General features: G+C 46.3%; 4 protein-coding genes, 1 long non-coding RNA gene and 1 other non-coding gene across 24 annotated transcripts in view, besides 7 other annotated features; 2 read left to right on the top strand and 4 right to left on the bottom strand.

Annotated features, from left to right (window-relative positions):
* WDR55 (WD repeat domain 55) overlaps positions 1–340 on the bottom strand; it is a 7,442-nt gene extending 7,102 nt beyond the window's left edge. For all 3 annotated transcript variants that reach the window (XM_017009600.3, NM_017706.5, XM_005268469.4), the window contains exon 1: positions 141–340. Coding sequence is in view for 2 of the 3 variants with exons in the window: in NM_017706.5 (NP_060176.3) it covers positions 141–331 (191 nt within the window). In the remaining variant the exon portion in view is untranslated. The remainder of the gene's footprint in view (positions 1–140) is intronic.
* LOC124901088 (uncharacterized) overlaps positions 1–2,833 on the top strand; it is a 3,027-nt gene extending 194 nt beyond the window's left edge. The window contains exon 2 of the long non-coding RNA XR_007058968.1: positions 87–2,833. This is a non-coding gene — a long non-coding RNA (uncharacterized LOC124901088). The remainder of the gene's footprint in view (positions 1–86) is intronic.
* Positions 206–335: an enhancer, noted in NCBI's record as "active region_23283". NCBI's record gives its function as "activates an Ori minimal core promoter by ATAC-STARR-seq in GM12878 lymphoblastoid cells {active_cell/tissue: GM12878}" and the evidence as "EXISTENCE:reporter gene assay evidence [ECO:0000049][PMID:35858748]".
* Positions 206–929: a biological region, named in NCBI's record as "NANOG-H3K27ac-H3K4me1 hESC enhancer GRCh37_chr5:140043900-140044566".
* Positions 263–929: an enhancer, noted in NCBI's record as "NANOG-H3K27ac-H3K4me1 hESC enhancer chr5:140043900-140044566 (GRCh37/hg19 assembly coordinates)". NCBI's record gives its function as "activates a minimal SCP1, AML or CMV promoter by ChIP-STARR-seq in naive H9 embryonic stem cells {active_cell/tissue: H9 hESC(naive)}" and the evidence as "EXISTENCE:reporter gene assay evidence [ECO:0000049][PMID:30033119]".
* Positions 686–845: an enhancer, noted in NCBI's record as "active region_23282". NCBI's record gives its function as "activates an Ori minimal core promoter by ATAC-STARR-seq in GM12878 lymphoblastoid cells {active_cell/tissue: GM12878}" and the evidence as "EXISTENCE:reporter gene assay evidence [ECO:0000049][PMID:35858748]".
* Positions 2,764–17,415, bottom strand: IK (IK cytokine). Its single transcript, NM_006083.4, has 20 exons — positions 17,320–17,415; positions 16,707–16,773; positions 13,438–13,530; positions 13,097–13,156; positions 12,100–12,267; positions 11,192–11,306; positions 10,658–10,728; positions 10,517–10,563; positions 9,252–9,415; positions 7,582–7,690; positions 6,468–6,507; positions 6,080–6,305; positions 5,911–5,929; positions 5,410–5,488; positions 5,049–5,129; positions 4,429–4,486; positions 3,536–3,624; positions 3,237–3,345; positions 3,031–3,065; positions 2,764–2,942 (listed from the first exon to the last, which is right to left on the bottom strand). The coding sequence occupies exons 1-20, from the start codon at positions 17,333–17,335 to the stop codon at positions 2,915–2,917; spliced, it is 1,674 nt and encodes a 557-aa protein (NP_006074.2). The 5' UTR covers positions 17,336–17,415; the 3' UTR covers positions 2,764–2,914.
* MIR3655 (microRNA 3655) lies at positions 17,318–17,400 on the bottom strand. The gene has a single exon (NR_037428.1). It is a non-coding gene; the product is annotated as a microRNA 3655 (primary transcript).
* Positions 17,341–17,876: an enhancer, noted in NCBI's record as "H3K27ac hESC enhancer chr5:140026953-140027488 (GRCh37/hg19 assembly coordinates)". NCBI's record gives its function as "activates a minimal SCP1, AML or CMV promoter by ChIP-STARR-seq in naive H9 embryonic stem cells {active_cell/tissue: H9 hESC(naive)}" and the evidence as "EXISTENCE:reporter gene assay evidence [ECO:0000049][PMID:30033119]".
* Positions 17,341–18,036: a biological region, named in NCBI's record as "H3K27ac hESC enhancer GRCh37_chr5:140026953-140027488".
* The window catches only part of TMCO6 (transmembrane and coiled-coil domains 6), a 51,203-nt gene continuing 48,455 nt past the window's right edge, over positions 17,512–20,259 (bottom strand). For 13 of the 15 annotated variants that reach the window (XM_047417356.1, XM_047417357.1, XM_024446125.2 and 10 more), the window contains one exon: positions 19,840–20,259. In XM_047417356.1, the coding sequence (XP_047273312.1) occupies positions 20,146–20,259 (114 nt within the window). In that variant the 3' untranslated portion in view covers positions 19,840–20,145. Of the gene's footprint in view, positions 18,430–19,839 lie in introns of those variants that run through there. The other 2 variants (XM_047417354.1, XM_011537663.3) reach the window with 2 other exon arrangements.
* Positions 17,614–19,959, top strand: NDUFA2 (NADH:ubiquinone oxidoreductase subunit A2). Of its 3 annotated transcripts, none has more exons than NM_002488.5 (3): positions 17,614–17,761; positions 17,882–17,988; positions 19,566–19,959. In NM_002488.5, exons 1-3 carry the CDS (start codon positions 17,661–17,663, stop codon positions 19,655–19,657), a joined length of 300 nt encoding a protein of 99 aa, NP_002479.1. In that variant the 5' UTR covers positions 17,614–17,660; the 3' UTR covers positions 19,658–19,959. The 3 variants fall into 3 exon arrangements, 2 of the variants coding, with proteins under 2 accessions (NP_002479.1, NP_001171941.1); NM_001185012.2 differs by having other exon boundaries at positions 19,519–19,877; NR_033697.2 differs by having other exon boundaries at positions 17,614–17,988.
* Positions 17,617–18,036: an enhancer, noted in NCBI's record as "active region_23281". NCBI's record gives its function as "activates an Ori minimal core promoter by ATAC-STARR-seq in GM12878 lymphoblastoid cells {active_cell/tissue: GM12878}" and the evidence as "EXISTENCE:reporter gene assay evidence [ECO:0000049][PMID:35858748]".

The following is a 20,259-nucleotide window of genomic DNA, read 5'->3' as shown; positions in this document are numbered from 1 at the left end:
AGCCGAATGTTACTGAATAAATTGGACCCAAAGAATCTTGCAAAATTTGTCTCCCTGCAACTTTCTCTCATCTCTCCTGTTCCCAGGTCCACCCCCGGGAAGCTTCCAGACCCGGCGCCCCGGCCCTGCCCCGCTCTCACACGAACACGTCCCCGTCCACGTCCCCTGCAGCCAGTAGGTCACGGGCCGGATGGAACGCCAGCCCACTAGCCGGAGCTTCCAGCACGATGTCTTCCGGAGTGTCCCGGATCCGGGTTGGGGCTTCCATGGAGTCTGGGTCCTCCTCGTCGCTCCCATCCTCAGCGGGCCTCTCCTCACAAGTGCGGTCCATGCTGAGAAGGACTGCGAGCCGCGCCGCCGCAGGGTAGTCAGCCTCGGAACCACCCACACTGCGGGAGGAGTAGCCTGGCACTCCGCTTCCGCCTCGGGGGGCGGGGCCGGAAGTGTCTCCGGGACGTTCTTCCTCTTACAGGAGAGGTGGGTGGGCCGCTGCTGGTGCGGGTGGAGCGGAGCGAAGAGACCGCATCTGGGAGATCGGCTACTTCCTTGTCCTGCTGTGACCCCGTTTGGGCTAGGTAGACGGTGCGACCGTCAATTCCCTCCCTAGTCACGTCACGTAAAGTTGAGAACTGCGTGTAAATCTTTCCTCTCCTACTTCATCCAGACAGGCTTAATGCCCTTGGGATAGGAGAGAGGGACGCTAGTCCTTCGTGGCTTGGTGAAACCCAAGATCAAGTCAAGCGACAGCCTGGGCTGTCAGGAAGCCGCAAAATCCCACGCTGCGCGATGACATACGGGAGTCTGGGACAGCAGGCAGCTCAAGCAGCTGGTGTCCACGCCCCTAACGTCTTTGTGGCCAGTTTGCTGTGCCAGTTCCTACAATTTGTCTACAGAAACTCAATGGGCTGGACAAGCAGTGCTCAGTTACCAAGAATTTTTTTTTCTTTTTTGTTTTGCTTTGTTTTGAGACAGGGTCTTGCGCTGTCGCGCAGGCTGGAGTGCAGTGGCACGATCACCGCTCGGCTCAAGCGATCCTCCGAGTAGCTGGAACTACAGGCACGCGGCACCACGCCTGGCTAATTTTTATTTATTTATTGAGACGGAGTCTCGCCCTGGCTGGAGTGCAATGGTGCGATCTCGGCTCACTGCAACCTCCGTCTCCCGGGTTCAAGAGATTTTCCTGCCTCAGCCTACCGAGTAGATGGGACTAGAGGCGCATGCCACCACGCCCAGCTAATTTTTTGTATCTTTAGTAGAAACAGGGTTTCACCATGTTGGCCAGGCTGGTCTCAAACTCCTGACCTCGTGATCCGCCCGCCTTGGCCTCCCAAAGTGCTGGGACTACAGGCGTGAGCCACCGCACCTGGCCAATTTTTGTATATTTTGTAGAAACGAGGACTCAGTATGTTGCCCAGGCTGGCCTTGAACTCTTGACGTGTCTTCCCACCTCAGCCTCCCAAAGTGCTAGGATTATAGGCGTGAGCCACGGCGCCCAGCCCCTGAATTTCTTTTTTTAAATCAAGGTCTTGCTCTGTCACCCAGGCTCAGAATGCAGTGGTGTGATCATAGCTCACTACAGCCTTGAACTCTTCGGTTCGATCCTCCTGCATAGCTATAGACTCATGAACTCCTGGCCTCAAGAGACTCTCCTGCTTTGGCCTCCCAAAGCACTGAGACTGTGGGCATGAGCCATCGAGCCTGGCCTCAGAAACTGAATTTCAAACCCACAATCTCCAGGTCTTGCTTTTAGTGACTCTCCAGATGTCTTCACCTGTGCCATGTCTCTGTGACCATTTTTAATAATTGGGACTGCCTACCTACATCCATAGAACCATGGTGTCATTTGTCTGAAATTAGCCATTCTAGGTGCTATTGCAGCAAGGCCCAATTTCAGCCTCTTACATGCCATGCACAATACTGGCTTCCTCACAAAAACCTGTCCTACCAAGGTGAATATAATCAAAGACAAGGTAATGGCTAAGGTGACTTTCTAGCTTTCTTGGATCTGGTGAGGCCACAAATCTTGGGCTCAGGGTAGACAGTGGCAGCGTGGCATCCAGCCAGGAAGCAGTAGTGACACCTAATGATGAGCACCAGGCCAAAGTGCTGGTAATGAGCAGAAGGGAAGAAAAGGGAAGGGAATGGTGTGATTCAAAGGTCAACAGACCTATTCTGGGCCTTGGCAAATGTTTCAGGGTGATGAAGGGCACCAAACCCTTCTGGTCTAGGATAGGAATTCCTGTACCTGCAGGGCCACACTATATCAGCTCTAAACCCAAAGCACTTCCCTAAGGTTACACCTTTAGCCAAGGAGACAGTGATTTGTACTCAACATTAATAAAGCTCATAGTACATAAACTCATAAAAGGTTTTGGTTCCCACCCATAAGTGATTTTCATTAGATGCCTTCATCCAGAGCCCAGTCCTTCATAGCCTGGAGATCAGATTAGCAGCCCATCAGGCTGACAGCAATCCCCAGGAAATCTTTCCCCAGGGACTAGGCCTGAAGATGGGCCGGAATGAGTCTGACATTTGAGACCAATCATACTTACATTCCTCTATCCACCTCTTGCCCATCAGTGAGGATCATTATTCTCTTCTCTACTGGGCACACTGGCTAGAGAGCATCCTTACTGTCTAGGAATCTAGAACCACAGCTCAGGAAAGGACTGATGACTTTCTGCATGTGATTTTACACAACCAGTGGAATTAGTGTTCTTGGTGCTTCAAGGGCACTGGAGGGGACATGCTCAACAAAGAAAATAGCAAGTTAACCAATTTTAATGGAACCAAGTAATTACACAATAAAATTTTATATTCATCCACAAAAAAACATCTTGCAACCTTTGGAAATTGTAGAAAGAAAACAGTGGGGAGCATATCCTTGTGGAGCATCTCTGGTTGTAACTAGTGATTAGTATTTTGGTCTTTTGACTTCAACCCTGCAATGGAAGGAGAAATGGGTCAGTATAAGATCAATACACTAAGCAATTCCCACCAGTCCCACAGAGGAAGAATAATGCCGCTCACCCATCAGCTTCCATCTTCTTCCTCTTCTCAATGATCTGCAAAAACAACAGGATAGTCTATCACCAAGCTGCCCATCTAAGCTCACCTGAGGCCCAAGGCTGACCTCTCATTTCCATGGCTCTCCAGCCCCTTGCCTGTTCCTGAATCTGCAGGCTAATGTCTTCTCCCAGCTGAAACCCTCCCACCCAAGGGGCCATCCTACTTACTGCACTAATCTTCTTCCACTGGCGATCAAGCTCTGCTTTGTCATTGGTTTCCTTGAAGCGCCTGGTTTTCCGCCCTTCAGACATTTTGATACCATACTGGAATGCAGCCCTGAAAAAAGCAGTTGGGAAAGAATGCATCAGAGATTGCATAGCAGTGGCGAGGTTTTCCCAGAGTCCTGTGGGCAAAGAACTTAGTGGGGAACATCTCAGCCAGACCACACCCTCTAACCTTATATGCACTATTCCACCAAATCCCCACACCCCTCCTCACACCCTGCCCATATTCAGTACCGACTCACTTGGGCAAAGCTTCTTTGTTGTTCATATACTCGCTGTATTCTTCCTGGGTATCAAAGTCCCAACGGCCTAAGGGCCCCTTCTTGTTACCCTGTTGCAGGACAGAATCGGGGGATGGGGAAGGAAGAGATGTCAGTGGAAATGGAATTTCAGCCCTTGATTGAAGCCAGACTCTCCCATAATCCCAGGTTCCACAATTCATAAATCATACCCTGATAAGTAATAATAAATGCTTATTACATACTTACTATGTGACAGGCATTATTCTGTACACTAAATGCATATCTCACTTAATTCTCATAAAATCTATGAAGAGGGAACTATATTTCTCTCCATTTTCCTGATGAGGAAACTGAGGCATAAACAGTGAAAGAACTTGGCAAGTTCACAAAACTAATAAACAGTAGAGGCAGGATTAAACAAGGCTCCAAGATTAAACCATGCTATTTCAATACAGTGAACTCAGGGGAAGAACACAGACTTCTTCACTATTAGTGGCATTAGTGGTTTTTTTCTTTTTAATTTTGCTTAAGACTTAGAGGAAAACTTCAATCCTGGCTAGAATAAAATTTAGTTATTTTCCAAAGACTGCAATTTTTTCTGCCCTTTCTACTTATGCATTGATGCTTGCTTACTGCCTACCATGGGAATCAAAGCCTGGCACTTTGCTATAGGAAGTAAAAAATAGATTTTTGACCCTATGTCATTTGATCTTGTGCAAAGACTCTGAAATAGTTAAGCTGCTCATGACCCTCAATGCTGCTGTTTCTACTGCTGCAGCTAAAGGAGGGTGGGGCCCAGTAAATGAGATAGATTTTTTAGGAGTGGGGAAGGAGATACATGTAAAACAAATAATAACTGCCCAAAGGCGCCCACCATCCTTCTAACTACATACCTGGTCCATTTTGCTATAATCCACCTCCTCATCACTATCCACAGCCATGTCATCCATCCTAAGGAGAAGCAAGAGTTAAACAGATGTTGCATACCCTGACCCTATGCTTCATCTGGAAACCTACCCGACTAAGAGGTTATCTGCATAGGAATGACCACCCCCTAGACCTCCCACTTAGAGCCTAATAAAATAGTTCATCCAAGTAAGAAGTAGCCTTGGGCCAGGCGCAGTGGCTCACTCCTGTAATCCCCGCACTTTTGGAGGCTGAGGAGGGCAGATTACCTGAGGTCAGGAGTTCAAGACCAGCCTCACCAACATGGTGAAACCTCATCTCTACTAAAAATACAAAAACTAGCCAGGTGTGGTGATGCATGCCTATAATCCCAGCTACTTGGGAGGGTGAGGCAGGAGAATCGCTTGAACCCGGGAGATGGAGATTGCAGCGAGCAGAGATTATACCATTGCATTCCAGCCTGGGTGACAGAGTGAGACTCTGTCTCCAAAAAAAAAAAAAAAAAAAAAAGAAGTAGCCCTGGGACTTAGCGAATCAAATTTCCATTTCACCCCCAACTTGTTTCCCAATCATCCCAGCCTCCCTTCCTTAACCAGGTTTCACATACGTGGCTGGGTAGCACTCTGCATAACTGTTGGACATGCCAAAGAAATCTCCCAGCTGCTTTTTGTCTTCTGGCTTCTTCAGCATATGCTATGTTAAAGAAAACACTACACAGGATTCTACCTATTGCTGTAAAGCTTCAGCCAGGAGGGGGCCAAGGGCTAGAAGCCCCAACATGAAAATTCTGAGTGGGCTGTGAGCTGTTATGGGTGCTCTGGGAAGGAACAAGGGATGGTTTCATTCTGTCAAAATTCAGCGTAAAAGGGAAGGAGAGGGGCAGGGTAGGAGGGAGCAGGGAGGCAGGGGGGGTTGGAGTAAAGAGACCAGTTCTCTGGAACCCAGGAACGTATTAAAATAAAGGATATGATTCTGTGCCTTCCCAGCCAGCAGACCCAGCAAACTTTTCATTGATGGACTTGATCAACTCCTTGGTAGACCCAGGTCCTAGGAGAAAAGAGAACTCAGCCCAGACCTTGAACTGAGGCTCTCACAACCTCCTCCCCACAACACACTTAAAAAACATTTTTAAGGCATAGAACCCTTTTGTCTAACAAAGTTTTAAACAAACTCCAATTAATGAGTCACTCTGGTTGAGATGAGGGTAGGGTATCCAGAACATTCCATACTTGACCTCTACCTCACCTCCTCAGAACCCCAGGGCCACAGGAATTATATCTAAGAGCAAATATGCCCTGCCATGGCCCAGGAAGGTGGAGGGAACTCCACCTATTCAATAAAGCAAGACACAGTTCTTACAAGAACCCAGAACCAGGAGGTCCCCCAATCCCACCGTTGCCAGCTCTGAGCCCTACCAGGGGAAAGCAGGACTGCTAGAGCAACTGTGAGATGCTGTGTGTACAACTCACCTTTGTCAACGTCCATGGGCTGGAAAGAACACAAAATGTGAAGTTAGTGTTACCATGAGAGATTCCTACTCATCCCTCCCCCAAGTTTGAAACAATTCCTTACCCAACCTTGCTCACATTTCCAGAGAGGGGCAACTCCATCACCTGGTACTAAGGGCCCACATCTCACCTCATCATCTACTTTTGGCTTCTCAAAGTAGCTGTGTCTCTTCTTTTCCTCTTCTCTCTCTCGGTCCCGCTCTCGCTCTCGTTCCCGATCTCGTTCTCGCTCTCGCTCTCGGTCACGGTCTCTGTCTCTTTCCCGATCACGCTCCCGTTCCCGATATCTCTCCCGCTCCTTGTCCCGAGGTGTCTTGGTTGTGGAGGGTACGTAATCCCCAATGTCTTCAAAAATACTGGGAAAATGGAGATCACTAGCTGGCCAAATTCACACATACACCTTCACTCCCCCTGACCATTTCTCCAGATTCTCATGTCAGCACCTCCCCAAAATGCCAGACACAAGAAATGTACAGACCCCCTCCCTCTGATCAGATGCCAGGGGCTAGGATACATACTTCATGTCAGCCTCAGGAGGTTTCTTCTCTTCCAGCTTCCCTGAAATTTAAAGAGAGGAGTCAGGAACATACTCCTCAGTTAATTTCCACTGAACTTCACCATCCTCTCCAGCTCTTAATGCCCTTTTAAACATCTTCTGTTTAAAACGTGGGTCAAGGCTGGGTGCGGTGGCTCACGCCTGTAATCCCAGCACTTCGGGAGGCCAAGGCGGGCGGATCACTTGAGGTCAGGAGTTTGAGACCAGCCTGGCTAACATGGTGAAACCCCATCTCTACTAAAAGTACAAAAAAATTAGCCGGGTGTGATGGCAGGTGCCTGTAATCCCAGCTACTCAGGAGGCTGAGGCAAGAGAATTGCTTAAACCCAGGAGGCAGAGGTTGCAGTGAGCCGAGATGGCATCACTGCACTCCAGCCTGGGCGACAAAACGAGACTCGTCTCAAAATAAATAAATAAATAAAAATAATAAAATAAGGCCAGGAAGAGTGGCTCATGCCTGTAATCCCAGCACTTTGGGAGGCCGAGGTGGGCACATCATAAGGTCAGGAGTTCGAGGCCAGCCAGGCCAATACAGTGAAACCCCATCTCTACTGAAAATACAAAAATTAGCCAGGCGTGGTGATGCGTGCCTATAGTGCCTATAGTGCCTACTTGGGAGGCTGAGGCAGAAGAATCGCTTGACCCCGGGAGGCAGAGGTTGCAGTGAGCAGACATCGCACCACTGTACTCCAGCCTGGGTGACAGAGCGAGACTCCGTCTCAAAAAATAAATAAATAAAATAAAATAAAATGTCGGTCAAGTATTAGAGCCTTTTTAGAATCTGTCTAGGTTTTCTGGTTTTCACCAAAAAATCTCTTTTAAAAAAAATAAATAAATAGGACATAAGCTACCCACTCTCCATCCCTCATGCTTCAGACCTGACCACTGCTTCTTAGGTAGGTTAAGGAGACAGAATCTGGCTGTAACTGTCTCCTTGCCAATGCTCCAGTACTCCCATTTTTCTCTGCTTCCCAGGAGCCTCTCAATATTCTGGAGACAGAAAGCTCCAGGAGACCTTGGTTTTATCCCCAAACGTCCTCTGTGGGTAAGGCTTCTCTCTCTAACCCTCCAGGTACCTTTATCCTTCTTCTTAAGCTTCTTGTTACGGGTTCCCTGCCTCAGGTATGAAAGGATCTGGGTCAGCTTGCTAATGACAATGTCATTTGTGGTCAGTGTGGTCTGGGCCTGAAAATACCAAGAAACAAGAATGTTAAACCACTCAGCAGAAATCTCTTCATTTATTCATTCATTCACTTAACAAACTAAAGACTGAATTACAATACAGTAGGTGAAGGGAGGGAAACGAAGTGCTGTGAAAGGATATTCCAGAGATAAAACAGCCTGCACAAAAGCCCTGCATCAAAATGAATCAAGACCATTCAAGAAAGTCAGGAGTCTAGAACATTCTAGAAAGGCCAGATGTTGCAGAGGCTCAAAGTCATGGTAAAGATTTTGCTCTTTATCCTAAGAATGAGATACTACTAAAAGCTTCTAAACTGTAGTGAGACAAAAATTTACATTTTATTTATTTATTTGGAGACAGAGTCTCATTCTGTCGCCCAGGCTAGAATGCAGTGGCACGATCTTGGCTCACTGCAACCTCCACCTTCTGGGTTCAAGCAATTCTCATGCCTCAGCCTTCCGAGTAACTGGGATTACGGGCACATGCCGCCACGCCTGGCTAATTTTTAGTAGAGATCAGGTTTTACAATGTTGGCCCACCTGGTATTGAACTCCTAACCTCAAGTGATCCTCACACCTCAGCCTCCCAAAGTGCTGGGATTACAGGTGTGAGCCACTGCACCCAGCCAAACTGTATATTTTAGAAGGGTAGGGGAGGTAGGGGTGGTTAATAGGTACCAAAAAAATAGAAAGAATGAATAAGGCCTACTACATGATAGCACAACAGGGTGACTATAGGCAGTAATAATTTATACATTCTAAAACAACTAAAAGAGTATAAATGGATTGTTTGTAACACAAAAGATAAATGTTTAACGGGATGGATACCCCATTTTCCATGATGTGATTATTATGCATTATATGCCTGTATCAAAACATCTCATGTACCTCATAAATATATATACCTACTATATATCCACAAAAATTTTTAAAAAAATTCTCTTTAAAGGATGAATTATATGGCATGTGAATAACACCTCAATAACAAGATATAATAACAAATCAGAGTGGAAGTGCGGAAACCAGAGTGGAAGTGCGGAAACCAATTAGAAGCCTTTTTAATAGCTCCAGAGGACTGGCGCAGTGGCTCATGCCTGTAATCCCAGTACTTTGGGAGGCCAAGGCGGATGGATCACTTGAGGTCAGGAATAGCCTAGCCAACGTGGTAAAACCCAATCTCTACTAAAAATAAAAAAATTAACCAGGTGTGGTGATGAATGCCTGTAGTCCCAGCTACTTGGAAGGCTGCGGCAGGAGAATCGTTTGAACCTGGGAGGCGGAGTTTGCAGTGAGCCAAGATAGCACCACTGCACTCCATCCTGGGTGACAGAGTGAGACTTGGTCTCTAAAAAAATAGTAAGTTAATAGTTCCAGCAAATGATTATAGCTTAGACTGGAATGTTATTGGTGAAAAAGTGGAAAAGTGAATGGATTCAGTTGAGATTTAGGAGGTAAAAGTGAACAGCACTTGGTGACATGGTGGACAAGGGACACGGGGCAGAGGCCAGGCTGATTCCCAGGCTTGAGGCTCACATGATAGGCTCTCAGGATTCCATTCACTCACCTCCATGGTGGGGCAATCAGCCTTGCTGCGGATAAGAGTGGTGGGGATATCTGTGTCAGCATACTCATCATCCAGGTCTACCACATAGGCCATGCGGCCCGGCAGGAACAACTCATTCCGCTCATATGCTTTGCTCTTAAAAAGCATTCGGTAAACATTGCGGCCTACAATAAGGAGAAGAGCAGCAAGTAGCCAGGATCTACAAGAACAGCTGTCACTTATGTGCTTACTCTGTGCTAGCCACCATGCCAAGTGCTATGCAAGCTTTGCGTCATTTAATCTTTGCAACAGCCCTATGAAGTGGATATTATTATCCTTTTTACTGATAAGAATACTATGGCTGAGATTTAAGTAATTTACCTAAAGTCATGTATCTACTAAGTAATGGAGCAAAGAATGGAACCAGGCCATGTAACTCCAAAGCCTGGGCTCCTGTCCACTCTTCTACATTGCCTCTTCAAGGGCACTATGCACCTGTATTGTATTAAGTCCTGTGAGGAAGAAGGATGAAGTTTAAGGTAATATTGATGATGATGGAAAAAACAGCTCTACTACCTGCTCAATATGATAGGCATGTTATAGATTTCATTTTTCTTCATCCCTACAATAAAGTCATGTGGTAAATAGTAACCCAATTTTTACAGATGAACAAACAGCAAAGTCAGTTGCCTAAAATCATACACTTAGTGCTGTTTCATCATCAAGGTTTAAACTCAGGTCTCTCTGACTCCAAGTTTTGAACTTTTAATCACTAACCATGTTACTTCTTTTAACTCATAAGCCCCAAACTGAAAAATCTTTCAATCTACCTGAGGAGACATAAATGACATATGAAATAATTAAATCTATGTCTGAGTCTTATTAGAGTATTTTATGGGAGTTAGTTGTTTTGGGGGCAAGAAAGAATCCCAGCTCTTTGGGAGGTCAAGGCAGGAGGATCACTTGAGCCCAGGAGTTTGAGACCGGCCTGGGCAATACACAGAGAACCCCATCTCTGCAAAAAATAAAAAAAAAAATTAGCTAGGTATGGTGGCACATGCCTGTGGTGCCAGCTACACAAGAGGCTGAGTCCAGGAGGTCAAGGCTGCACTGAGCCATGATCACACCACTGCACTCCAGCCTGGGCGATTAAGTGAGACACTGTCTCAAAAAGAAAGAAAGAAGAAAGGAGGTTGGGGGAAAGGAGAAGCATATCCTTCCCAGAGCATTAAATTCCGTACAATTCATCCAGAATGCATAGTCACTAGTATAGAAACTGTACTCACCCAGACGTGTTTTAAATTCAATTTTATTTTCAGGATCCTCATCTTTCCTGAAAAGACAAAAAAGTTTTATTTTTGCTAAATGTGCTCTAACTTTAGGTCCCACCTTTCTAAATTCTCAACCTTTCCATAATATTTACTTACTTGGTTTCTTTCTGGGGCTTTTCCATCAGTTCCTCTTCCTCTTTCTCTTTGCTGGCAATCTCAGCTCGTACCTAACAGGAAAGCAAGCAGGGTTAGGACACTCATTTTATATATTTATTGAACATCCACTACACCACACTGTACCAGGAACTAAGAATATAATATTAAACATGACAGATATTGTTCTTACTCTAATGGAGCTTATAGCAGATGAGACAGACAAATTAAACAATTTCAACAAAGTACAATAACTGCTGTGGTAAATGAAACAGAAGGGCTATGCAAAGGTACAGGAAGCAGGAGGTGAAGGGAAGTGCTTAACCACACCTGGGTGATCAGGGAAGGTTTCTCCAAGGAAATAAAATTTGGCCTGATACTTGAAGGATGAGTAGCAATCAGCTTTTCAGAGGGGCCATCTTTAGCCCTTCTTCTACTCAGTCTGAACTCTCAGGAATCTCCCTCCTCATCTTGCCAGACCCATACAAGAGCATTCAGCACGACAGTATTACTCCCCACCTGACCACCAGGACTCACCTTTTGAAGCAGAGCAAAATCCAAGCCTTTCACCAAATGGGTGTGTTCCATGTCACCACCCAAGAATTTGGACTCCTGGATCAACTGTCTTCTCTTCTCTGCAGCTGATTTGTCCCTGTATAATGAAAGAGGCCACATAAGAACAGTACTGTCCAGGCGTGGTGGATCACGCCTGTAATCCCAGTACTCTGGGAGGTCAAGGCGGACAGATCACAAGGTCAGGAGTTTGAGACCAGCCTGGTGGATATGGTGAAACCCCATCTCTACTAAAAATACAAAAATTAGCTGGGCATGGTGGTGGGCGCCTGTAGTCCCAGCTACTCGGGAGGCTGAGGCAAGAGAATCGCCTGAACATGGGAGGCGGAGGCTGCAGTGAGCTGAGATCGCGCTACTGCACTCCAGCCTGGGCAACAAGAGCAAGACTCTGTCTCCAAAAAAAAAAAAAGGGGGTGGGGGAAAGGGGGTTGGGGGGCCAGGTGCGGTGGCTCACGCCTGTAATCCCAGCACTTCAGCAGGCCGAGGCGGGTGGATCATGAGGTCAGATCGAGACCAGCCTGGCTAACACGGTGAAACCCTGTCTCTACTAAAAATACAAAAAATTAGCCGGGCGTGGTGGCGGGCGCCTGTAGTCCCAGCTACTCGGGAGGCTGAGGCAGGAGAATGGCATGAACCTGGGAGGCGGAGCTTGCCATGAGCCAAGATCGTGCCACTGCAGTCCAGCCTGGGTGACAGAGCGAGACTCCATCTCAAAAAAAAAAAAAAAAAAGAACAGCCCTTTGTGGGTGGCAAATGCCTCTGAAATCGCTTATTGTAGGCTCCAGGGCAGGAAAGTAAGAGGAAGAGTTCACATTGTATTTGCATGACTCTCGGATGCTGAGGGAACCATGCCCTGTTCCCTCAGTACTCACGCCTCAGCAGTGGGGCCAACAGCCCTATAGTTAGCTGTGGTGCTGATAAGCTCGGTTTCTTCATAATCTTTGTTCACTCCATCTCTCCGTTCCTTGGCACGATCCCGGTACTTCTCTGCTAGCTCTCTCTCTCTCTCAATTTCTTGTTGGCGTAGCTTGGCATAATAACTGTGACCAGAGAAAGGCAAATGTATAAGGCTCATCAGCTGCTACCTCAAGGTCAACAGAACTGTTCCTGCTTGCTTCCCTACATCTCCAACCTACTCTCTATGGGGAAAAGCTCATGTCTGTCCTGATAGAACTGCTGGCCACCTCTTCGTAGTTACTCAAAATCAGAACTACAACTTCTTCCAGCTTATAGATATACTTTTCCAGTGCCAACTTGGGACACTCCATCTGTCACTTCAGAACTTTTTAATACCACCCAACTCTACCAATTCTCTATAGATATAAGACTTTTCCACACAAAAATCAGAAAATCTTCTGAATTTTTACCACCTTCTAAATTTCAGCTGAAAAGAACGTATTATTTGCTGGTCCACTCTCAGAATAAAGGAAAAGCCAAGTACCAGGTCCTGAAACTTTCGTATCATATAAATAACGATGATGATATAATAATGATGATGGCCGTCAAGATTTATTGGGTGGTTACCATATGCCAGGCATTGGTGCTAAATGCCTACATGTACTTTCACAGCTGATCCTCATGACATCCTGATAAAAGTTATTATTGCTACTGTATCTCCATTCTATCTGTGGATTAGAGAGGCTAAGCAAATGTCTAGGTTATCCACCAAGAAACTAGCGAAGATGAGATTAAAATATAGATAGGCCTATTCCAAAGCCCTCTACTGCCACTCTAAGTATCACTCTGTTTCATTAAGAAAGTAGAGAGCCTCAAGACAAAATCTTAGTTTCTAGCTTCATAATTAGCCCCTACTTCTTTCCCCTAAACACTATCCACCTTAAAATCTAAAACCCTTCACCCTTCCTTCACCTTTTCTTTTTCCTCCTTCGTGCAGCTGGGTCTTCATCCTCATTGTACTCCCTTGGCATCCTAGAAGAGACGAGAAATTCACTGATAGCAAAATATTGCCACAGCCCCAGAAACCCCAAGAAGTCTCCTTGAGGATTTTTAGAAAGACCTAGAATACTGATCAAAGTAACACTTTCAATCAAGCAGAAATCCACACCAATATTTGTAGGTGGGCAGTTCTCAAACTTTAGAGAGTATCATAAATACCTGAGGGACTATTAAAAGTCATTCTACTTAGTAGAAAGAAATAGGAAGGAGCAAGAAACAAGTTGGGAGACAGGTTGGATCACCCAAAGACTTACTCATGGTGACGTGACTTAGAAGGTGGTGCAGAGGTAGGTGCAGCCCTGGGGGTCATGAGAAGTTTCCTGAAGTCTTCATTGGTGAGTTTTGATCTAGAAGAAAAGGCAAAGATTTTAAATATTAGGACTCAATAAGAAATGAAAAAGGAACAAGTAAAAATCATGATTAAATTAACAGAAATCAGGGAAATACAAATTAAAACAAAGATATGACACTGTTTTTTTTTTTTTGAGACGGAGTCTCACTGTCACCCATATTGGCCAGGCTGGTCTTGAACTCCTGACCTTGTGATCCACCCACCTCGGCCTCCCAAAGTGCTGGGATTATAGGGATGAGCCACCGCACCCAGCTTTTTTTTTTTTTTTTTAAGACAGAGTCTCCCTCTGTTGCCCCGGCTGGAGTGCAGTGGCATGATCTCAGCCCACTGCAACCTCTGCCTCCTGGGTTCAAGTAATTCTCCTGCCTCAGCCTCACAAGTAGCTGGGAATACAGGTGCCCGCCAACACACCCAGCTAATTTTTGTATTTTTATTAGAGGTGTTGGCCAGGCTGGTCCCAAACTTCTGACCTCAGGTGATCTGCCCACCTCAGCCTCCCAAAGTGCTGGGATTATAGGTGTAAGCCACCACGCCCGACCAGATATGCCATGCCACTTTTAATGCATCAGAGTGTTAACTACCAGAAAGTTTGATAAATCAAGTGTGAGTGAGAATTTGGGAAGGGGACTCTCTCATATAATGCTGATGAGAATGTAAACCAGTATAACCAATTTGAAGGGCAATTTTGCAGTATTTGTTAAAATTTAAGTATATATATCCTATGAGCCAGCAACTCCATTTATTTATATTTAGCCTGGTCCATTACTGACATATGTATATAAGAAGGCCTGTAAATTTAATTCAGTTATAGCCTTGAAAATAATCAGTCTGGCCGGGTGCAGTGGCTCACACCTATAATCGCCGCACTTTGGGAGGCTGACGCAGGCGGATCACCCGAGGTCAGGAGTTCAAGACCAGCATGGCCAACATGGTGATATCCCATCTCTACTAAAAATACAAAAAAATTAGCTGGGCGTTGTGGTGGGCGCCTGTAATCCTAGCTACTCAGGAGGCTGAGGCAGGAAAATCGCTTGAACCTGGGAGGCGGAGTTTGCAGTGAGCCGAGATCTAGGTATTACACTCCAGCCTGGGCAAAAAGAGCAAGACTCTGTCTCAAAAAAATAAAAAAAAGAAAAGAATCAGTCTGAAACAGACTAAGCGTTTATTAGCTGGAGACTGACTAAACTATGATGGTGTTTCCCAAAGAGGGAAAGACAGCACTAATGGTACAAGAGATTATTTTAATTGGTACACTAACAAAGACTCCTCTCTTGATCAAATTAAAGTCAGACTCCTTTAAAGCTCTCTTCTGACTAGGGCTCTTCCTTGGCCTGCTGACCTCAGTTTTAAAAAGGAATCCTAAGTCAGTTCACAGAAAGTTTTCCCACTCTTGATATCCAATCCAACTTGATATCTAATCAAGTTCCTCTTCTCCCCAAGGAAGACTTTATTGAAGACTACTGTAACAAGAGTCAAGACCATTGTAATAGAGTAGAGAGACTGAACTTAATTCCGAATACAACAGGGACAAGTGAGAATTTATAGAAAATTACTAAAAGCAACTTGGTTAGGTATGGGGGTGGAGCGGTGGTTGATTTCTTTGTTAAAACTGTGCTCAGCAGGCCACGGATGAGTCCTGCTGAAAAATGGGACTCTTTGGGGAACCTGACTAAAGTTTAGCCAAGGAGGGAATGCTTGTCACTGCTCTGAAAGATAATCTCAGAAACACTGAGCAGGGTTTAAAAAGAAGCAAGTTGCAAAAATGATATATACAGCATAATATCATTTAACTCAAATATTTTAAATCACAAAGCAATGTTGTGTTTTCCTCAGATATGCATGTATGTGTATAAATGCATTTAAAAAAGAGTAGGAGGGCCAGGCGCAGTGGCTCACGCCTGTAATCCCAGCACTTTGGGCCGCCGAGACGGGCAGATCATTTGAGGTCAGGAGTTCAAGACCAGCCTGGCCAACATAGCGAAACCCTGTCTCTACTAATACAAAAATTAGCCAAGCATGGTGGGGCATGCCTGTAATCCCAGCTACTGGGGAAACTGAGGCAGAAGAATTGCTTGAGCCCAGGAGGCAAAGGTTGCTGTGAGCAGAAATAATGCCATTGAACTCCAGCCTGGGCAACGGGAGGAAAAGATATGCCAAAAAAGGTAACTGTGGTTACTTCTAAGAAAAGGACTGAGGCTGGGCACGGTGGCTCACGCCTGTAATGCCAGCACTTTAGGAGGCTGAGGCGGGTGGATCACTTCAGGCCAGGAGTTCAAGACCAGCCTGACGAACACAGTGAAACCCTGTCTCTACTAAAAATACAAAAAAAAAAATCAGTCGTGCATGGTGGCACATGCCTGTAGTCCCAGCTACTTGGGAGGCTGAGGCAGGAGAACCGCTTGAACTCAGGAGGCAGAGGTTGCAGTGAGCCAAGATTGCATCACTGCACTCCAGCCTGGGTAACAGTGAGACTCCGTCTCAAAAAAAAAAAAAAAGAAAGAAAAGAAAAGAAAAGAAAAAAAAAAAGAAATGGACTGGAATTGGGGATGTTATCAAAGATGATTTTATCGGGGGCCAGGCACGGTGGCTCACGCCTGTACTCCCACCACTTTGGGAGGCAGAGGCGGGTGGATCACCTGAAGTCGGGATTTCAAGACCAGCCTGATCAACATGGAGAAACCCCATCTCTACTAAAAATACAAAATTAGCCGGGCGTAGTGGAACATGCCTGTAATCCCAGCTACTCGGAAGGCTGAGGCAGGAGAATTGCTTGAACCCGGGAGGCGGAGGTTGTGGTGAGCCGAGATCGCACCACTGCATTCCAGCCTGAGCAACAAGAGCGAAACTCAGTCTCAAAAAAAATAAAAAGATGATTTTACCCTTATTTCCTATGTTTTAATTTGCTATTGGAAGAAGTAATTCCTATATAATGTGTAATTACACAACACGTATAAAAAAAAAAAAAAACTTAACACCTTTCCTGCAGGAATTTCCCTTCTAATACCCTTATGCACTTGGCCTGATCCAGTTAAGGCTCACAGAGATAAAGGGCCAGCGGGTATAATTTTTTACCATCCTTGATGACAAGACATTCAGAATTCTTTCACCATCACCACCACTTTTCTATTCATTGCCCAACTCATTTCCATGGTCCTAGCACAAAATACTCACTGGTGGAAGGAGTGAGGATCATCCACATCGTGGCCATCGGGGGCCAAAGGGTTGGAGAACGGCTCACCTGACAAAAAAAATTGACGTTAATTTAATCAGTCTCTTACGTGTCAGATCCTATGCAAAAATTTGAGATATAGTAGTGAACAATACAGAACAAAAGTTAGAACAGCGACAGTGTCAACACAATGTAATAAGTGCTGAAATAGGAAACTACAAGAAGCTGTGGGAGCACAAAGCAGAGGACCCTAATCCTGCGCTGGAGGATCAGAGAAGACTTCCGGAAGATCACGTCTAAAATACTACGTAAAAGATAAATACGCGCAACCCAGGATTAAGTATGGGGACAGGACTGGGGGAAAGCGATCCACGCACAAAAGCCGCCCATCATCACTTGGAGTAGGAGTGAGGACTGGGGACGGAGTTTGGAGCTGTCGGCCTCACTTAGGACCCTGTGGCTTCTCCGGGCTCAAGCGTCACACATACATACATACACACACACACACACACACACACACACACACACACACCCGGCTTAAGCTCAGAAGCTACAATAATGCGCCAAGTGCCCCAAGTGCCATGGGGAAGAAATAACGGATGGCCTGAGCCTTACTATCTCGCTCCGGCATTTTGTTATCGTTCTTTCGCTGTCACCAACAATCGAGTCTCCAACAGCAACACCGCAGCGACAAGCTCTTTCCCACAGTGCACCTCAGAATCAACCCACACTGCTTTGCGTTCGCAGCCTTTCCGCTTCCTGTTTTTCCCTCCGACCAACCCCGAGCGCAAAGAAATTGACCTCGCAGCGGTCCTACAATACTTTTATATCATTGGCCAAGCTTTACCCCGCCCCTGCCTCATGCAGCCTATGGGCTAGGCTTTAGGGTCCGCGGTTGGTCAGACCGGAGCACTTGGCCTGAAGACCTGGAATTGGCGACTTCGATATTAACAAGGATGGCGGCGGCCGCAGCAAGTCGAGGAGTCGGGGCAAAGCTGGGCCTGCGTGAGATTCGCATCCACTTATGTCAGCGCTCGCCCGGCAGCCAGGGCGTCAGGTGAGGCGCGGCGTGGTGAGGCGGGCGGGCTTCGGGACGCCAGGGTCACGACCTCGACCTCCCTGAAGTTGAGGGAAGCCCCCGCCCACAGCACGCGCGGCGCTCTCTCCGGCCCCGCAGGGACTTCATTGAGAAACGCTACGTGGAGCTGAAGAAGGCGAATCCCGACCTACCCATCCTAATCCGCGAATGCTCCGATGTGCAGCCCAAGCTCTGGGCCCGCTACGGTGAGTGCGGGACGCCAGGGGTCTGGGGCTCCGGTAGGGGAACAAGGGTTTGAGAAGAGAAGGGACCGCCCAAGGTCGTGCAGAAACCCGTGGAGAAACTAGAACTCGGACTTTAGCCTTGCTGTTGATCTTGTTTCCATGAAGAAATTTATATTCGCAGGGTTATATGATGCGTTGTATTCCGGGCAACATAAGTATGCAGGCTGACCGAATCCTGCGTAGGGACCAGGAGCTGACGTTTTTGTAGTTAAGAATGGGCTTCAGACAGGAGAGAAGTTAGTCAATATAGTTTCTCCAAATAACGTGTAGCCAGTGTCAGTCCAGGTAGTGTGTGAGAATCTCAGTAATTTTGCACATAGAGCTGGGCCCTGTGCTGAGTGCTTCCCTGCCTAACTCATTTAATCTTCATTAGTTAGGAGGAAGCGTGTTCTTCTTTTCTCACTGTAGAGATTAGAAAACGGAATCAAAACTTTGTTTTGCACTATTGTTAAACTCTAGCTGCAACTTTAGATGCAGCTAGAGTTTAACAGGATTGAGCCTTTACATTTATTCCCCTTCCTAGAATGCACTTACCCCTCTAAGACTGGCATGGCAATGTATTGCAAAATGAAATTTTCCTATCATGTTGCCTAACACATTGTAGGTATGCAATAAATGTTTATACATACTGAATAACAGGATTTTAATCACAGCTTTTAACTATATGGTGCCCTGGGAATGACGGGAGGAGGTGGAGGAGAGTGACCACCTTAAGCAGATTGGTTCTCAGAGTAGATATCTGTGAGACACAGTAGACATTAGACATGCACTAATAATTGGAGAAGGAAAAAAGCTTCTCCTTCCAAAAGCCAGTAGACTACAGGAGGAGATAGACACGAGTAACTTTAGTGTATTGTGCTGGGTATTATGTTAGATAGCCTATGGGAGCCTAGAGAATGGGTACCCAGCTGGGTGCGGTGGTTCACGCCTGTAATCCCAGCACTTTGGGAGGCTGAAGCAGGTGGATCACCTGAGGTCAGGAGTTCAAGACCAGCCTGGCCAACATGGTAAAACCCCGTCTCTACTAAACATACAAAAATTAGCCGGGTGTGGTGGCGGGCACCTGTAATCCCAGCTACTCAGGAGGCTGAGGCAGGAGAATTGCTTGAACCCAGGAGGTGGAGGTTGCAGTGAGTGGAGATCGTGCCACCACACTCCAGCCTGGGTGACAGAGCGAGACTCCGTCTCAAAAAAAAAAAAAAAAAAAGAGAGAGAATGGGCTCCCAGCTGAGGCTGGACCCATGCAATACATTGCTCACCGTAGTTAATAATAAATGCCTACAGTGCCCCCGAAAGCTTCCCTGAAACAACCCATTGCGGCCATCCAGAATCAGCCAAAATTCTATTTGGACTTGGGCTTCCTAGATGTGTTTGAGACCTATTGTATTAATTCTAGGCATACCAAATGTATTTTGATCATATCTCTTTAATACTCTTCCTGTCTTAACAAGACTAAGATAAAGACAAAGATCTTTTATTTTACTTTGGTAGCCTCCAGGGTGCAGAATAGTTAAAGACACCTCCCTCTCTCTCTTCAGCATTTGGCCAAGAGACGAATGTCCCTTTGAACAACTTCAGTGCTGATCAGGTAACCAGAGCCCTGGAGAACGTTCTAAGTGGTAAAGCCTGAAGCCTCCACTGAGGATTAAGAGCAACAGCCCCAGAGCCTGGGCTCTGCTGGACTTAGTATAATGTGAAAAAAATGTGTTCTCCTATTCCTCATAAAGCTTGTGCTGTAAAATACTTTCTCAGGGTGTTCTTGTCCTCATCTACCCTCTACCCCTTACTGTGCAACCACTGAGGCAAAGTAGCTTAATATAAAAATAAAACTTTATTCTGTCTCATCAAAAGCTACCAGCTGCTGAAGCAAACATGAAGGGTGGCGGGGGGGCAGGGATTCTAGGGCCCCAGAGTAAGTAGACCACACTGAGTCCCTTTTGGTCCTCCTGCCTGGATAGTGCTGAGTGGAAGGGGAGGAGCTGGGACCCAAAGGTCTTGGCTTAGGTGTGGGAGCAGAGAACATGAGACCTCATTATGGTCCTAAATCTCCAAAGGCTCTACTGGACAAACAAGCTTGATGTTAAGAGAGAGGGGAATGAGTGACATTGAGAAACAAGATCACCCTTGAAGAGCTGTCTGCTGGAGAGCATACACACGATCCTGGAGCTGGGCCTCTTCCTGATGCCTTTCCAGGGCTTGCAGCCCTGACTGCTGCAGGAAGACCTGAACAGC

This window comes from Homo sapiens, chromosome 5, assembly GCF_000001405.40.
Source record: "Homo sapiens chromosome 5, GRCh38.p14 Primary Assembly".
Classification (NCBI taxonomy): domain Eukaryota; kingdom Metazoa; phylum Chordata; class Mammalia; order Primates; family Hominidae; genus Homo; species Homo sapiens.
This window is presented reverse-complemented; position numbering and strand designations above follow the sequence as displayed.

What these genes read in the sequence shown, in the direction of transcription:
- IK (NM_006083.4), bottom strand. An exon ending in AACAAAGAAGCTTTGCCCAA is followed by an intron (nt 3,346 to 3,535) that starts GTGAGTCGGTAC and finishes TGCTTTTTTCAG; the next exon opens with GGCTGCATTCCAGTATGGTA. An exon ending in AGTGGAAGAAGATTAGTGCA is followed by an intron (nt 3,066 to 3,236) that starts GTAAGTAGGATG and finishes TTGTTTTTGCAG; the next exon opens with ATCATTGAGAAGAGGAAGAA.
- NDUFA2 (NM_002488.5), top strand. Translation starts at nt 17,661, where the DNA reads ATGGCGGCGGCCGCAGCAAGTCGAGGAGTCGGGGCAAAGCTGGGCCTG. An exon ending in CCCGGCAGCCAGGGCGTCAG is followed by an intron (nt 17,762 to 17,881) that starts GTGAGGCGCGGC and finishes CCGGCCCCGCAG; the next exon opens with GGACTTCATTGAGAAACGCT. An exon ending in CAAGCTCTGGGCCCGCTACG is followed by an intron (nt 17,989 to 19,565) that starts GTGAGTGCGGGA and finishes CTCTCTCTTCAG; the next exon opens with CATTTGGCCAAGAGACGAAT.